Source organism: Homo sapiens, chromosome 1, assembly GCF_000001405.40.
Source record: "Homo sapiens chromosome 1, GRCh38.p14 Primary Assembly".
In the NCBI taxonomy this organism is placed as follows: Eukaryota; Metazoa; Chordata; class Mammalia; order Primates; family Hominidae; genus Homo; species Homo sapiens.
Window position 1 is genome coordinate 67091093 of NC_000001.11, and position 18594 is coordinate 67109686.

Consider the following 18594-nt stretch of genomic DNA (forward strand, 5'->3'; position numbering starts at 1 on the left):
GCCTGGGTGACAGAGCGAGACTCCATCTCAAAAAAGAAAAAAAAAAAAAGAAAGAAAAGAAGTCACATTTACATTAAGAGCAGGCTTACAGGGAAAGGGAGGGAGTAGAAAGGAAATTTCTATTGAATGCTACAAGGCTCAAAGTACTAGATGCTATTTTATTTAATCCTGAGAATAGCAGTGTAATAAATTATTGTTGTCTCCATTTTAAGGTGGAGATACAATTTAACTGAAGTGCAGATAATTTACATTATTTGCCCCAATTTGCTCCTATCTGCCCTATTCCAAGGCCCAAACTTGCTTCTCTGATACTAAGTATCAACAGAAACTACCATCATGACTAGTACTAATATTAGGTATATTTTCTAATTCTTGTTATTCTGATCGTTAGCGCTTAAAAAGAGTTTGTGTTTTATGTTCTAAGTTGGCAATGTAGTTAGGGAAGCTGTTCTGCTTTGCAGTAAGTCTGGATGGAGGGAAAACAGGGGGAGACCATATAACAGCAACCAGAAAAGAATGAAGGGGAAAAGAGAAAGACAGCTTCATGACTTGGAGCTGCAGCAGCTTCTCCTTTTCCCAGGCAGCAACTGGAAGCAAGGGAACCTGGTATGCCCCTTCCCTACCTCCTACAGACCCGAGCCCAACACCTTATCTCAAAGCTTTTCTCTCTTTCTCTTCTCTCATTCACACAATCTCCAGGTACATCTCTCTTCCTCCATCTCCATTTTTCTCTCCTTGTCATTCTTTTTGAGAGTCCAAACCTCCCTCTCGTTGTAAAGATGCTCCTGAGTGGTATTGATGATTATGCACAATAAAGAAAATCTCCAGTCTGAAGTAGAAGCAGAGGAACCTAAACCAGTTTACCTCCTCACCCTTAAATGTTCCAAAAGAACCCCGAAAGCCTTTTCTTAACTTAAATGCATTTAATTTAATCTGTTTCTCTTCAAGTAGTAACAGTCAAGATTGAAAAATTCTTTCCTTACTCAGTTTTCTCTATTAGTTATTGGAATTACAAAATTATTGCTTTTTACGATTTTCACATAAGCTCTATGGGATAAAATTTTAAGTAAGCTTTTGTTAGTTAATTTTGGAATTTATTACTTCCAAGATTATTTTTATGTGAAATACATTTCTGAATTCCAAACAAATGGATTACAAATAAACTTTCAAAATGCAACTTGTTTCTAAGTGGAATTCTGCCTTTAAACTGTTTGGGTTAATGAGAAACAGTAAAATAGCAATGTAATAATATACCTTAAAATGTTTAATACCTTATAGGATTTGCTACCAAAATTATTTAGATTAAGGATAGTTATTCTTTTATTTAACAATTTAGAAAAAAGTTAAAGTTTGCAAAAACATTATATAATAATGAAGTTCCAACAGCTACTAATGACAATAAAATCTATTCAAAGTTTTACAAAGCCCTTTTAATTGCATAAATTGCTAATGTAATACTATTGATGATGATTTGCTGAAATGCTGGTATACAATTAACTCCACAGTCATTAAATTAATGGTAATTTGTCTTATTTGATATTCAATTATAGAACAAGAGTATTGATGTTATTTGGCTTCCAACAGCGCATTTCCAGAGTCAGACTATGCCTTTCTTGGTCCTGAATCAGAGTTTAGTATAGGAAGGCTGATGATTGAGCAATCTAATTGAGATAATAGAAAGTCATGAACTAGATCCTCTTGGTGATAATTATTTCCTAATTTTGTCCTACTATTTTCTAAAAATGTTGATTGTTCTTGAACAGACCACTGCTGACTTATAATTCTAATGTCTATGCTTTGCTTTCTTATATGATCAATTAGAACATTACTATTTGGATAAGAATTTCTTTTATAATTTTGGAACTTGGATATTTGCTTCTTGTTACTCAAATATTGCTGCATACATAATATTTTATGAGGCATTTAAAATTTCATTTGATAAGTTTAACAAATTATCCAGTGGCGTTACATTATTTAGTTCATATATATATTTAAAAGGCTTTGAGTAACATTTGACAGGTAAGGCACTGGATGTGGGTATGCTCGTTGGTTTTCCTGCAGAAAACATTCTTTCAAATTTTCCAGTTTGGGCACTCATTTCATGAATAACAGCTTTATCAAGGTAACCCACAAATTGTTTTGTTAGGCTAGAAAAATTCTGTGAGAAATTATAGAGTGTATTCCAAGATCTGTTTTCTAGTGTCTGCTTATTAGTTTTCTTCTTTAGTTTATCATCTACAGTTGTGTGGCCCGCTTTAAAAGACATAGGGATCTGTATATCTTTTCTCTGTACTGTAGGCATAGTTTTTTGGGGTTTGAAAAGAGAAATAGATTGATTGCCAATTATAGATTTGAGGATTTCACAATTTCTTTCTAAAATGAAATTTGTTCTTTTATGTGGGTAAATGTTTTCATTTTCCAAAGGATGAGAAGAAAATCTATTTTTTGTCAAAAGTAACATTCGTACATATTCTGTGTCATGGAAAATTATGGGATTTGTGTCCTTTTGTTCCTGTAGATTAAAGAAAAGAATAATTAGTCATAAGTTCATTGAGTCAAGAAAGCTCCATATATTTTAAAACATGTAAATAAAATTGTAAAATATTCTAAAAATGACTACATACAAATATTTAATATGAACAGTAGCATTATTCAAATACATGAAAATACTGTACTTGTATGTAACATACATCCTTCTTATCTTAATATTCTATAGAGATGTTAGTGATAAAACTTGAACTTTTGGCCTTAAATGTTTTTTGAAATAAATTGGAATACGAAAAAATTAATATATTTGTTAAATATCTGGGGTACTGTCATTGAGAAATAAGGTGGTTGTTCTGGCATTTCTTAGGTTTCCATGTTCTAGAAATTAAAAAGCATACCAAAAAATGGATTGAGTCAAAGTTCAGAAGAGACATAACTGATTACAAGCCAAAATTACAAATCTGGATATTCTAGTAAGTAATTCAAAAAATTAAAAATTATCTCTACAACTGTTATTATTGTACCCTAATACTTAGCACAATACCTGACACCTAAAAAGTGCTCAATATATATTTGTGGAATAAAATAGCCAAAGTAATAGATTGACTTAAGAATAGACATTTTTATCGCAGTAATATCCAAGTCTGCTATGATTACTGAAAAGATGACAAAGATCTAGTTTTGCAATCCACTGGTGATGCCAATATTACCTATTTAGCCATAGTAATGGATGTTTGTAATGCTTTTGGTCTGTCCAACACCTTAGGGAATTTTCCACTTGACAAGTCTATGTACCCTTAGGTAGAGGCAAGAACCATGTTTATCAGCTTCTTTGCGGTTAGGACATAGGCATTTGCCCTAGGCTCTGCCATTCAGATACACCTATGAAGTCTTCAGTTCAGAGAAAGCAAGCACTGTGAAAAAGTATTGGGAAAACTATTCTAGTGAGGGTGGTAGGAGTTACATCTAGCTTTGAATGACAGCAGTAGCAAATGTCTTAGAGTATTCCCTGCTCAGCATCAGAGTTGTAAACTTTTATCTGTGACAATAGCATGGGCCTCAGTGGAGCAGTCTGGGGCTATATAATTAGGTGATTCCTGACTAGACAGCTTTCGAGCCATATTGCCTCTCTAGAGAGCATGAGTTACTAAATAGCCTTTAATAAATGCACTTTCTGGTTGAAAAAGCCAAAACAGATTGTTAGAAAAATTGACACATGGTCATGGTCCCATCATTTTAGAACTGGGGTCTTGTTATATTGCTCAGGCTGGATTCAAATGCCTGGGCTCAAGCAGTTCCCCTGCCTCAGACTCCAGAGTAGCGGGGATTACAGGTGCACACCACTGCATTCTGCTAGATTGGTACAGCCATTTTTAAAAAATTCTTTTTATTCTACAGTTCTATTATAATCAAGCAAATTTGATAAAGGCTTCTTCATAAAGAAAAACACTGAATTTTCAGCTGGTATAAAGGAATCCCTGGTTTGGGAGTTGTGCAAAGTGCATTAAGAACTTAAGTGCTGTTATCACTTTGGAATATGAAACCAAGAGGTAAAAAGGATTTATCAAAGATTCTGGTCACTAAAATATATGGGTGATTCCCATAAGTCTTATGACTACACATATTTACTTAACAATAGATGATATGCTTATTACCATGTGAGAAGTTACTGTCTTTGTTGGACTAACGTTGACTATCTTGGCATGTGGATTTTTCAATTCATCCTCAAAGCACAACGGGAGCAAGCTTTTCTTTCTTACTGACCTATACTTACTTAATTGATAATTTCTGACCGATTTGTTTTCTTTTATATTAAAATCGTTCATCTGTGGAGATTTTTTTCTGAAAATAAACACAGTTCAGGGTAGTGTTCATGGGGCTGATTACAGCTTGTCAGTTCTTGTCTGCCTCCTTTTATCCCTGGAAGTCACTGCCAACTTCTGCACCAACCTCTCTCCCACAGACTTTTCAAACCGACAAGATCATCCCGTCCTGCCTGGTTTGTGGGAGAAAACAGCAAGAGTAGGAGTGGAAGCAAGAGAGTCATATATATGCCTCTTTGGATTTTGAGTGGGGACGAGTTGTATTATTACGTAGGTTGAGGAGAACACCAAAGGTAGAGAGGTATTTGCAACGTCCTATGTTGAAATTCTGGAAGAAGCTCCACAGGGCAGCTTCATGCCAACATAGGGTGGCCCCAGCTTTGTTAAGAGGATAGAATAGTGTGGTCAGGCAGAGACAGGATATAATTTTTAAACTGAGTTAAACCTAAAGTGCTTGTTCATTATTGATTCAAACAAAGTTTGAAACACACTGGATTAATGATTTTTTTCATTATACAGAGATGGAAGGGTTCATGAGAAAAATGAGAACTTTATCCAAAGAAAAGCTACTTTTTCATGTCCATGTTGTCATGTAAGTAAATGTGTGTATTTACTAAAAAAAAAAATTGTATTCCCTCTATTCATTTTTCCATGCCTTTCTCTCCATTTAACAATACTCAAGGTCTGGATGTGATATCTAGTGGCTAAGCAGTCTTGGACCATTCATTGGATTGTGCTGTGGAACTAAATAATAAGGCAGAATAAATTTATTCCTGTCAATTATAAAATGTGTCCTACTAGAAACATCATTAAACAGAACAAAGTATTAAGCATTTTAAAATAAATTACCTTTTATTTCTATCACCTTCTAAGAGACCAACAGAATCCAATGGTTTCCTAGGTTTTTTTTCAATTTGAGCTGAAATTTTAAAAGATTTTCATAAAAGACACATAGATATTCTGACATTTAGGAAAATATCTTGCACAAAATATTTTACAATTTAAAATAACATATGGAAAGTACCTAGTATAGTGCCTGGTCTGTAGTAGCTACCCAGTAAATATTTCTTGAATGAACTAGATAGAACTGGAAAAGACTGAGATCGAAGCCCTAGTATTTGGCTAAAACAGATCAAACATAAAAGTGGTCTTGGAGATTTTTTTGTGGAAGAAAGACATCCCTAAATTTTCAAATCTTTCTGATATGTGGAGCCATTATTAACCAGTAGGAAGCTTCAGACGGTTATCACTTGGTAGGCAGGGAAGACAGTTTGCAGATATCAAACAGATCTTGCCATGCGGCATGAAGTAAGCATCATCCAAGGTTGATCTCTTCCAAATATGTCTGGTGGCCACTCCAGCATTTTTCTAGATACACATGCTATTAGTAACAGTTTTAGCTTTTACCTTGTCCTCAAGTAGTTTATATTCTAGTGCAGTACTTCCCAGTCTTTCCCATATAATGGCAAGCATACTAATTAATATTATTTGTACAGTATACTGGAATAAATGCTTGAGTCTGGGCAGGCTACCACAGGGCCAACTGAGCAGCCTTGATGGCTAAGGAATCAATATTTCAGCACACCTATAACCCCCTCCAAGCACAACAGGTTACCACAGTACTATTTGGGAAGCTCTGTTCTAGAGGGAGGAAATGGTCAATAAACAAGTAAACAAGGGGCATGGTGGTGCGCCCCTGTAATCCCAGCTACTCAGGAGGCTGAAGTGGGAGGACTGCTTAAGGCCAGGAGTTTGAGGCCAGCTGGGGCAGTATACTAAGACCCCCATCTCAAAAAAACAAAAACAAAAACAAACAAAAAAAACCCGACAACAACAAAAACAAGTAAACCAACCAACAAATAAATGTATAATATAATTTCGAATAATTTGGAAGTATTTGCAGCATTCAAGTACCATGGAAGAATATAAACATAGTACTTCACCTAGGGTGGCTATAGAAGGCCTCTTTTAAGAGGGGATATTTGAGTTGAAATCTGAGTAAAGAGAAAGAGGCAGAGGAAACAGCAAGTGTGGAGGTCTCAGTGTGAAGCCAGCATGGAATGCTGAAAGAACAAAGAGGCCAGTGTTGCTTGGGTGTGGTGAATTAGGAGGAGAGTGGAGTAAGATGGGTTGAAGCACATAGCAGGGCAAAGTCATCTAGGGTCACATAAGCCATGGTGAAGAGTTAAGATATTATTCTGGTTACAATAGAGATCCTTAGGAGGGTTTTCAACAGAACAATAATGCAGTTTCATTTATGCTTTAGAAAGATCACTCTGCTTGCTCAGTGATGGATGGTCTGTGGGGAGAAGGGGGAATGTGGGTGGCAAGAGCAGCAATGGAGTAACCAATTAGGAGGCTGTTGTTGTTGTCTAGATGAACATGTTGGTGGACTCGATAAGGATTGTAGCAGTGTAAGTGGTGGGAAATCGTTGGCTTCAGTTTCTACTTAGAGGGAGATCCAACTTTTTCCCATTTGCAGGAATGGGATAGGTAAGAGAAAAACAGGCCCACTGACTGAAACAAGGTGCTGGGTTAAGGATCCCTGACTTGTGAAAGGAGAATAAAAATCACTCCTTTCCATTGCCAATTGGCTAACCTGGAACTAAGTCAAACCACACCAGAGATGGATGACTGAATCTGCCAATCTACCATATCCCAATTGTCACCCTGGCAGACGAATTCCATTCACAACTCTAAAATCTGGTCTGGCCTGAGGGTCACGAGGTCTGAGTAATGGCAACTGCAAAACTTCTGGAAAGGAAAGAGTGACATATAGTGAGTGGTGAATAAGAGACAGAGAGCCTTCTAAAATTCTAAAACCTATGAAAAATATTGCCAGGTGCAGTGGCTCACACCTATAATCCCAGCGCTTTAAGAGGCTGAGGTGGGTGGATCACTTGAGGTCAGGAGTTTGAGACCAGCCTGGCCAACATGGTGAAACCCCATCTCTACTAAAAGTACAAAAATCAGCTGGGCATTGTGGCGAACGCCTTATAGTCTCAGCTACTTGGGAGACTAAGGCAGGAGAATCGCTTGAACCAGAGTCGGAGGTGGCAGTGAGTGGAGATCGTGCCACCACACTCCAGCCTAGGCGACAGGGTGAGACTCAGTTTCAAAAAAAATATTATAATAAAAAAATGAAAAATATAAATTTTAGAAAGGCAGCCAACAAAATCTACAAGAGGGTCAGCACTACAATTAAATAGAAGAATCTAAAAATAACCTGAAAACCTTTGCCATCTTAAGATATACACCTCAATTTTAAGATGTATATTAGCATGCGTCATAGTTTAATTAACAGTGTCAATTGATGACATCTTAGATTTGATGAAATATGTTTAGAAATTTCAAGGGTATAAATAAAAAATACTCACATTAGAGAATAAGCTAGTATTCAGTAAAAACAGACTAAGGTAAAAATAAAAACAGGTCAATATTTTAAAAACTGGAAATCTTGGAAGTAAGAAATATAAATCTAGATTACATGGACAAAGGGAGAATTAATGAATTGAGAGAAAATGTTGAGGGATTTGCCAAGAATGCATAGAAAGATAAATAAAAACCTGAAAGAACAGTTCAAAATCATGAAAAACAGACTGCAAGTCTTGGACATTTACCCAATAGCTTTGGAAGAAGAAAATAGAGGAAATTGTAAAGAATCTATATTTGAAGAGATAATAACCAATAATTCTAACTGATAGAAGTGTATTTCAAGGATTGAAGATGACAGACAGAATACATCTATATCCAGATACTTTGTACTAAAAAAGCAGATTGTAAAGAATAAAGAGAAAAATCCTAAAACTACCAAAAAGTTAAAAAGTTTGTCTGTAGAGGAATGACAATTGGACCATGAACAGAATTCTAATCTATGAATGATTCAAGAAGATAATAAAATTATCTGTAAAATGCTGAGAAAAAATAATTTACAGTGTAGACATTTACATAAATTCAACTGTCATTCTCAAGAGTGACAGCAAAATAAAGGCACTTCAGATATACAAGGATGAAAAGAGTTAATAGCCAACAGGTCACCATTGAAAGAATGACTAACACATGCTCTTCAGGAAAAATGTAATAGAACACAGATGGGGCTGAGTGTGGTGGCTCACGCCTGTAATCCCAGCACTCTGGGAGCCCAAGACAGGTGGATCACCTGAGGACAGGAGTTTGAGAGCAGCCTGACCAATATGGTGAAACCCCATCTCTACTAAAAATACAAAATTAGCCAGGCGTGGTGGTGCACACCTGTAATCCCAGCTACTTGGGAGGAGGCAGGAGAATCGCTTGAACCCAGGAGGCAGAGGTTGCAGTAAGCCAGGGTTGCGCCATTGCACTCCAGCCTGGGCAACAAAAGTGAAACTCTGTCTCAAAAGAAATAAATAAGTAAACCACAAATGGCAGGATACAGGAGTCAATGATGAGCACAGAATTTGATAAACTACTATGTATTTAATTGGCATTGTCTTTAAAAACGAACAGTATTTTGTATTTTAAATGAAATATTGTGAATATTTGCTGCACTTGTATAAGCTTTTTGCAGTTATTTTAATCTATTGTATTTTTGGTGTTTTAGACTTCTGTCATGTCAGCCTTTTGTTTTTTTCTTTAACTTTGCTTTACTGAGGTATAATTTACGTACAATAAAATACACATATTTTAATGTAATGCACAGTTTGATAAACATTGATAAATATATGCACTCATGTAAGTAAAATCAAGATATAGAGTATTTCCATTATTCTCAGATCGTTTTCCCCTGCCCCCTTTTAGTCAATTTATTTGATTTGTTCTGTTCTTTCCTTCAGACACACTGGTTATCTCAGTGTTGGATACCTGTTTTCTTCCCTCAAAATACTATCTTGTCTAATGTGGTCATATTTTTGTCCCCTTACACTGCACGTTGTATATATTCCTACACCTGCTTTTCAGATTTCAATTTGGTTTACTTCAATGTTTATTTTACTCTTTGCTGCTTTTAATATAATTTTAAGTTACCTAGTAGCATTACTTGTTTCTTTAAAAATATTTTTAAATTCTGGTAGCATCATTTCATCCTTGATGATTATCTTTTACATTTCCAAATCTTATTTCATAGAATTCTGTTTTTCTTTAACTCCTTCAGCATATAGAGCAATTATTGTTTAAGTTTTTTCCTGGTTCATGGGGTACAAATTCTGCCAAAATGTGACCATCAGCTATCTTTTAAATTATGACCTCTCTTTGCTAAGGAATTTTTTCATAGGTCCCATGATTTGTTCTTATTTTTCTTTCTGCTCAACTTTGAATCAGATCACTTAAATCTGGGCTTATTATTTGTCCAAAAACAATAGATGTACATTTTTTTGATGTTCTCCCTGTTTACTTGGGCACTGTTAAACTCTCCCCTTAGAAATTAATATGTAAATCCAGATGTCGTTACCTTATATTATGAGTTCAGGCACTTAGCTACCTCAGTAGGCTGCTAAGGAAGCTGGAGCCCTGGAAGATCGTGGAGAAGTTTATTTCTGGGCACTGTATATTTTGTGAAACCTTTTCATGACCCCAGGGTGGTGGTGGTGGCGGTGAGTACTCTGTTTATGTGTGAGGTGTCACTTGGGTTTCATTTTTTTATCTCTCTCTTTGGGTAAGCAACTTAGTTTGGTAGTTGGGGGAGGAATTTAGTCAAGTAAGGGCCTCATGGCTCACAGGCTACTTGATGGAATCATGTTTTTTCTTTGCACAGTTATCGTTGGTCACAGTCCAAAAATCATTTCTAGAAAACTGTATTTTGTCTCTTCTGTTATCAACCCTCCTTTCAAGTCCCTGCTCCTTCAAGTTAGGAGGTTTTTACCCTAGCTTTGAGTACATCTAAAGCAATACGAGGAAGCCAGAGAAAAAAAGTGACAAGTTATGATCGTTACATTTCTCTCCAAATATTGCTAACACAGACTTTGAATGCTGCTGACTTACAATAAGGAAAGGAATCCCAAGGGGGACAATTTTGCATCTTTCTCTGACCTATCATTGGTAACAAACTCCATTTCTTTATGTTGAATGTAAGAGTGTGTGTGTGTGTGTGTGTGTGTGTGTGTGTGTGTGTGATGGAGTAGGTGGTTATAACAGGGGATTTTTTTCAGAATATTCTCTACTGGCTCTTTCAATGGTTATTCCTTTCTCCTAAGAAATGGAATTGTGCACTGACTTCTGGAAGATTCTTTCAAACTGCTTCATATTATAATATGAGGCAGATTTTCTTTGAGTTAGGGATAAAATGTCCCACTTTCAATTTAATAAATTTTTCTTCCCTATTTTCTTTTTGTGTTATTCATTTTGGCCAGGATGAACTGAACTTGTATTTATGTTGACAACTTTCCCAGAAGTCTTACTTTGAGACTTTGATAAAAAGGATAAAATGCTTCTTCAGAGAGGCTTAAGAACTTTTCTAAAGGGAGATTGCTTTGCTGAACTAATAGAACATCCTGTCGCTGCTTTGAGGGAACACTTCAGAGAAGATGTGGCATCTTAATGGAACCTTAAGGGATAATGTAGTAAACAGAGGGTTGCCTACTTCACAGTTCTTTTTTACCCTTCTTTACTAACAGCACTCCAATCTTACCTCCTTCCAAGCAACCGCGTCCTTCAAAGAAGGCTGGGATCTTTCCTGGCTCAATAGAGTAAATCCTGAGTAATCTAAGCTGTGTTTTTCAAAATGGTGAGCTACAAACCATTCATGTCTTGCGAAATCAATTTAGTGTATCCTGAACAGCATTTTAAAAAATGAAGTAGAATAGAGTATAACAGAATGTATCATCTGGATCCTTAGTAGTTACTGTACAAAATACAGAAATACTACAATCAAATTCAACTGACAGAGAGAAAGAGAGATAATTAGGACTCTAGGAAGATGAATCTTCTGCTCCGTGTGTGTGTGTGTGTGTGTGTGTGTGTGTGTGTGTGTGTGTAATATAAAAAGCATTTCTTACTGTGGCCATGTTAAAAGTTGGAAAAAGTGATCTAAGCCAATGATGATTTATTGGTTTAGATGTGGATGCATGAGGCTATTTGAGACAAAGAAACATACGGGGGAGTTGGCGTTGGGAAAACATTTTTTTTTCATTCTTACCAAGGCATAAAAAGCATTTCCAGTCACACAACCTATCTTGAATAGTTGTCATCATATTGTACAGCAAGGATAGGAGGACAAGCTACCTGCTAAGACCATTGACGAAAGAGAGAGGAACTGGACATTTTTTCCCCCACTGTATTCCTCTATTCAATCTCAGAGGCCACAATCAGACAGACAGAAAACTCGAGAATATTTTTTTTCTTGCATCTGTAGTGGAAACCTTAGCAGCAGACAGTAACTACTCCAGGTCTGTCAAATAGATGCATGGAACTGAATATCTGATGACATTATAAAGCCCCTGAATGAGTCAACCCTGCAAAAGCCTTTCTGATGGACTTCTTGTTTTTTTTTTAGATAATAAATATCTTTACTGTTTAAGCTACAGGCAGTTGGATTTTCTTTTACTTAGGGCTAAAATCTCTTAACTATTAAAGACAATCAGGAATCCATCAGGTGAAAACATATGTTTTAAGCATAGACAACAGACAATGAATCAAATCACACAGTAATTTGGTTAACTAAGTAAAACAGCCTATTAAATATGACTAGAATCAGTGTGGTGTGGATAGGTTTAAGAGTAAGAAAAGAAGGCTGGAGAAAGATCGTTATGGTAGTATGATCAAAGACGAATATTCCTTGGATAAAGATTTTCTTAATGCTTACACACTAATTTTAGGTGCAGATAACTTTCAGTTATTTCAATGTAAACATGCAATTTGTATACCTGTAAATAAAGTAGAGTCTTTTTCCTTTTTATGAGCATTAGACTGAATGTTGAACATAGGAGAAAAGTCTGTAGAACCCAGTGATCTTCTACATGCTTGTCTATGCTGTGAATATAGAACATTCAAAGGCCCTGCATTTTCCATCTAAACATCAGGAAAAATGGAAAATTATCTTAGAAACTATTTCTTTCCGTGTATATTAATAAATAATTTATGCTTGAGTATTCACATTTGCAATATTGAATTATGATAACTAACAGCTGTCTGGTTCTTTAAATATTTTAAAATGTGATTTATTTAATTCTCAAAAAAACCTACTATGAGATGGGCATTATCAATAAAAAAACAAACCTTCACAAGTTAAAAGATCTGCTTATGCTCACATTTTTTACTAATTTTTATTTTCTTTGTCTATAAAACTTAGCCTTTATAGTCACATAAAATTTATCTCTCTAAGTTCAGGGGAAGTCTAAAGTTCAAATGCTGGGAAATAAAGCCTTCTCTGTTTTGACAAACTATTACTCTCTCTAACATAGAGTAGGTACAGCAGATCAGTTCTGAGTAGAGAAGAAACTGAAAAACAATGATCTGGCTTTTCCTAAGCTAGAGTATCAGATTGGCAGATTGGGTCCATATATTTTTTATTAAAATGTACATATCTAGGCGCTCAAAATATACATATGCACATGTTAATATAAACTGAATACTTTGTGATTCTCTGTTAACAAGCTAAACAAATAAATGTTTAGAACCCATATGTTTTTCACACTAGGCACAGAATATATTTAGTTCTGGATAATATGAAATAAAAATAAGGTATATGACAAAAGTCTAGGCCACAAAGACCTCACATTTTTATGGTATAGATAGGATTTGCATACACAAAACAGTAGTAAATAAAATAGAGTAATATTACTAAAAAGCAAACCAATCAATACAATCTACAAATGAGGAAGAGTTTAAAAAGGGAGGGATATCAATAAAGACTAGAATAGACAGGAAAGATTTCATAGAGGAAGAAGAAAATGCTAAGATTTAAAAGATGAGGGCATTGCAGGCGAGGTCAACAGCATAAGCCTGGAATGTTCATAAGACAGGCAGAAAAATAGCATATTTATAGCAGGAAGGCATTTATTATTTATTGGGATTAAAAGATAAGTTCAAATAGGTAAGAAGACGAGTTGTGAGAGGGATAGACCACAGATGTCTTGAAAGACAAATAAAGCAAATTTATCCTAAAGAAAAATTAACAAAATTGTCATGAGGAATAGAAAATTGGAGCATATCAATAATTCTTAAAAGGAATGTAAGGGAGTTTCTAATAACTACCTTTAAAACATAGTTTAAAAGAGTAACCAGCCCCGGATAGATTTACAAATAAGTTGTTTTAAGCTTTCATGGAACAAATTGTTCTCATGCAATATAATATCAATTAAATTAAAAAGTAAACAGCTTTTCAGTTCTTTTTATAAGCTGGCATAGTCTTAAAAGCCAAAGTCTGGAAAAATAAAGAAGCTTACAAGCTAATCTTACCTATGACTTCAGGATTTTTCACAAATTTAAAATAAAATACCAATCAACACTAGACTAGTACAAGTTTACAACAGCCAAATAAAACCATCAAGAAATTAAAGGTTTCTATATGTTATTATAACTCATTACCCATAGGTCAAAAAGGATTAAAATGTTGTAATTATTTTAACAGCTGCAATACTGATAAATCTGATAAATTTAACAACTATTATTGATAAGAACTATAATAAAACTACATAAAGATAATATTTTCTTAATGTGATAAAGAATATTGGCCAGGTACGGTGGCTCGTGCCTGTAATCCCAGCACTTTGGGAGGCCGAGGCGGGTGGATCACCTGAGGTCAGGAGTTCAAGACCAGCCCGGCCAACGTGGTGAAACCCCGTCTCTACTAAAAATCCAAAATAAGCCGGGTGTGGTGGTGTACGCCTATAGTCCCAACTACTCGGGAAGCTGCGGCAGGAGAATTGCTGGAATCTGGGAGGCAGAGGTTGCATTGCACTGAGATCAAGCCACTGCACTCCAGCCTGAGCAACAGAGCGAGACTATTTCTCAAAAAAAAAAAAAAAAAAAAGAATATTTAAACATAATTTAAAAAATTCTATATATGTGTAAAAGTAACAGCCAACATCATCATTAATGGTAATATATTAGTCTATGACATGGCAACAGTAACATCTATCACCACAATTATTTATAAATTTTTAGGGAGTGCCCAATAATGCAACAGGAAAATATAATAAAAATAGTAAAGACTGGGGAATTCTGATTCAACGTAGCTGAGTAATCCTCTATCAGACCTACCCTCCCACAGATGAAAACCATAGACTCTAGACAAAATGCTCTAGACAAAATACACACAGACACACACACAGACACACACACAGACACACACACACACATGCATGCACACACATGACCTTAAGGTCCTGGAGAATAAACAAAAGCAGGTGGCAAAGAAAAAGTATTGACACTTGGTATAACTGACTTGCATGGGGTGGAGCTGCTATTTGTATAGCTTTTAGCTTGAAGGCAGACTGAAGTTGGCATTGTATGGAGCATCTAAAATTCTGCTAGAAAAACCACGTTGTTTCTGGCCAGAAGAACCAGAAGACAAAGTTAGGACAAACAGAGCTGCTGGAAAGTGAGAAAGGAATGCTAGAAAGAAGAGAGCCAAAGATGGCAGCTCCATTCCCTGCATGAGAGACTCCTATGTGTAAGGGACTACCTGTTCAAGTCTCTGGTTAACCCCTAAACCATGCATGTTTAGAAACTCCTGCAAGCAGACAGCTAAGGATAAAACAACTGAATTAAAATTTGAGCTGCTGTTCACGAGTCATTTTGTATTCTGAGTACAATCAAGATAATTGACTGCTAGAACAAAAACATCAATAATTTTTGTAGGACAAGAGAGTGCAGAGTCTTCACAATACAATAGTCACAATGCCCAAGATCAATCCAACTTGACCTAAAAGAACCAAGAAAGTGAGACCTAGTGTTAACATAAAAGATAACCCAACAAGACCAAGCCTGAAATGACCCAGATATTGGAATTAATAGATTTTATAGCAGCTATTATAACTATGCTTGATGGGTCAGGCACGGCAGCTCATGCCTGTTATCCCAGCCCTTTAAGAGGCTGAGGCGGGTGGATCACTTGAGGCCAGGAGTTCGAGACCAGCCTGGCCAACATGGTGAAACCCTGTCTCTACTAAAAATACAAAAAAAGAAAAAAAAATTAGCTGAGAGTGGTGGCACACGTCTGTAGTCCAGCTACTCAGGAGGTTGAGACAGGAGAATCGCTTGAACCTGGGAGGCAGAGGTTGCAGCAAGCTGAGATTGCGCCACTGCACTCCAGCCTGGGTGACAGAGCACGACTTCATCTAACAAACAAAAACAGAAACCAGCCAAACAAACAAACAAAAACTATGCTTCATGAAAAAAGTAAAATATGTTCAAAGTAAAGGAAAAACATAGGGAATCTTACCGGAGAAACAGAAACTATTTTTTAAAATGGAAATTATAGAATTAAAACATGTAATATCTGTTAACTGGTTGAGCTTAAAACAAAGTGAAAATATCTGAGGGGAGAATCTGAGAACTTAAAGATAGATCAATAGAAATTACTTAATATGAAAAAATAGAGATTCAGGAACCTGTAGGACAATAATGAAAAGTCTGACATGTTTAATAAGAGCCTCAGAGGGAGACTCTTGTCCCCTTTACTTTCTTTAAAACACAGCAAATTGCTGAAAGCAAAAATTATAATACTGTCCTGTAGGGTTTATAGTATTACATACAGAAACTATAGTGCAAAGGTTTGGGGAAGTAAATGGAACTATACAATTTAAAGATTTCTACATCTTTATGTGAAGTAGTACAATTTTACTCTAAGTAGACTGTGACAAGTTGATGATGTATACTTTAATCTATACGGAAACCACTAAAAATCCCAAACAAATAAAAAGAGAGATAACTAAAATCCAACAGATATATTAAAGTGAAATTTTGATAAATATTCAAATAATCCAAAGAAAGGCAGGAAAGAAGGAACAGAGAAACAAAAAGCACAGGGGCAAACAAAAAAGAATAAAATGATAGACTTAATTTCACCCATATCACCAATTACATTAAACATTAATAAAATAAACATTTCAATGAAAAGAAATTGTCAGAATAGATTTTTTAAAAAGCAAGACTCAAGTATATGCTGTATATAAAAAATGTACTATAAATATAAGTTGAAAGTAAACTGATGGAAAAATATATGCTATGTAAACGGGATGCATAAGAAGGCTGCAGTGGTTCTATAAATATCAGGTAAGATAGACATCTGGCCTGGCATAGTGGCTCACGCCTGTAATCCCCGCACTTTGGGAGGCTGAGGTGAGTGGATCACCTGAGGTGGGGAGTTCGAGACCAGCCTGACCAACGTGGAGAAACCCTGTCTCTACTAAAAATTCAAACAATTAGCCGGGCGTGGTGGCGCATGCCTGTAATCCCAGCTACTCGGCAGGCTGAGGCAGGAGAATCGCTTGAACCCAGGAGGTGGAGGTTGCAGTGAGCCGAGATCACTAAAACAAAGAGTGTCCTTCTCTTAATAAACTTCCTGCTAGTGTGGGTTTTGGCTCCTGAGAGCAAAATTCTCTTTATGGTAGCATCTGCAAAAAAGGCTACCAGTCAAACTGCCTACTCCCTGCCCTCATATCCTAAAGTAAGGTGGTTGAGAACTCTGCCATATACACAGAACAGTTAGGTTTTCATTCTGGGGATAGACTTACTTGTAAAATTAGTGGCAGCTTCCTGGAAAAATTAACCCCATCTTCATTCTTAAATATCACAAATAAAAATGTACCAATGTCTTATTTTATTCAAGCTGCTATAATAAAATCCCTTAAACAGGGTAATAGAAATAATAAAAATTTACTTCTCACAATTTTCAGGCTGGGAAGTCCAAGATCAAGTCATCAGCAGATTTAGTGTTTAGTAAGGGCTCGCTCTCGGATTCATAGGTGGTGCCTTATTGCTGTGTCCTCACATGGGAGAAGGGGCAAACAGCTCTCTAGAATCTCTTTTATAAGGTCACTAATCCCATTCGTGAGGGCTCTGCCCCATGACCTAATCACCTCCTAAAGGCATCACTCCTTAATACCATCACATTGGCTATTAAGTTTCAACATATGAATTTTGAGGGTACACATTCAGACCATAGCAACCACATATGATAAAAATCAGCAATCACCTGAGGTCAGGAGTTCAAGACCAGCCTGGCCAACATGGACCCCATCTCTACTAAAAATACAAAAATCAGCTGGGCATGGTGGTGCATACCTGTAGTCCCAGCTATTCAGGAAGCTGAGGCAGTAGAATCACTGGAACCCAGGAGGTGAAGGTTGCAGTGAGCAGAAATCGTGCCACTGCACTCCAGCCTAGGTGATGGAGCAAGACTCTGTCTCAAAAAAACAAACAAACAACAAAAACCAACAAATAATCCCATCAAAAAGTAGGCAAAGGATATGAATAGATAATTTTCAAAATAAGATATACAAATGAAAAAATGCTCAACATCACTAATTATCAGGGAAATGCAAATTAAAACCACAATGAGATACTGCCTTATTCCTGAAAGAATGGCCATAATTTAAAAATTTTTTAAAAAATAGACCTTGGCATGGATGTGGTAAAAAGGGAACACTTTTACACTGTTGGTGGGAATGTAAACTAGTATAAACACTATGGAAAACAGTATGAAAATACCTTAAAGAATTAAAAGTAGGCCGGTGCGGTGGCTCATGCCTGTAATCCCAGCACTTTGTGAGGCCGAGGCAGGCGGATCACGAGGTCGGGAGATCGAGACCATCCTGGCTAACACGGTGAAACCCCGTCTCTACTAAAAATACAAAAAAATTAGCCAGCATGGTGGCTGACGCCTGTAGTCCCAGCTACTCGGGAGGCTGAGGCAGGAGAATGGCCTGAACGCAGGAGGCAGAGCTTGCAGTGAGCCGAGATGGCGCCACTGCACTCCAGCCTGGGCGACAGAGCGAGACTCCGTCTCAAAAAAAAAAAAAAAAAAAAAAAAAAAAAAGGAATAAGGAGACATGGGATACTAGAATCTGAGGAACTGAGCAAAGGAATGGAATGACAATGTAAAAGTAGGCTTATAGGTAACAGGTCAAATTTAGAACAAGAAGTCACTGGGCTTCATGAACAATTCCTCCAAGAACATTGGAATGGATTACACACAATAGAGAGAATGAATAAAAAACTTGATCATTTTCACATATGATAAGAAAGTTACATGCTTCTTTTTTGGAGGCTGCAGATCTTAGTGACAATGAGCATGAATCAAACTGCTGGGTTCTTCCTGGTTCTGTCATATACTATTTGATCCCAGGCAAGTTGCTTATCTTCCTTG

At 36.4% G+C, this 18594-nt stretch overlaps 1 protein-coding gene and 1 non-coding gene across 11 annotated transcripts in view, besides 1 other annotated feature; both read right to left on the reverse strand.

Moving 5' to 3' along the window:
* Positions 1-1072: 1072 nt before the first annotated feature.
* The window catches only part of C1orf141 (chromosome 1 open reading frame 141), a 49482-nt gene continuing 31960 nt past the window's right edge, over positions 1073-18594 (reverse strand). For 3 of the 10 annotated variants that reach the window (XM_011541466.3, XM_011541465.3, XM_017001276.2), the window contains exons 6-9: positions 12146-12290; positions 5160-5229; positions 4143-4329; positions 1073-2512 (exon numbers count right to left, since the gene is read on the reverse strand). In XM_011541466.3, the coding sequence (XP_011539768.1) occupies positions 1913-2512; positions 4143-4329; positions 5160-5229; positions 12146-12290 (1002 nt within the window). In that variant the 3' untranslated portion in view covers positions 1073-1912. Of the gene's footprint in view, positions 2513-4142; positions 4330-5158; positions 5230-12145; positions 12291-17936; positions 17981-18028; positions 18070-18594 lie in introns of those variants that run through there. The other 7 variants (NR_075077.2, NM_001276352.2, XM_011541469.2 and 4 more) reach the window with 6 other exon arrangements.
* Positions 6042-6660: an enhancer, noted in NCBI's record as "NANOG-H3K4me1 hESC enhancer chr1:67562817-67563435 (GRCh37/hg19 assembly coordinates)". NCBI's record gives its function as "activates a minimal SCP1, AML or CMV promoter by ChIP-STARR-seq in naive H9 embryonic stem cells {active_cell/tissue: H9 hESC(naive)}" and the evidence as "EXISTENCE:reporter gene assay evidence [ECO:0000049][PMID:30033119]".
* LOC124900434 (small nucleolar RNA SNORA31) lies at positions 11553-11687 on the reverse strand. Its single transcript, XR_007067390.1, has one exon. It is a non-coding gene; the product is annotated as a small nucleolar RNA SNORA31 (small nucleolar RNA).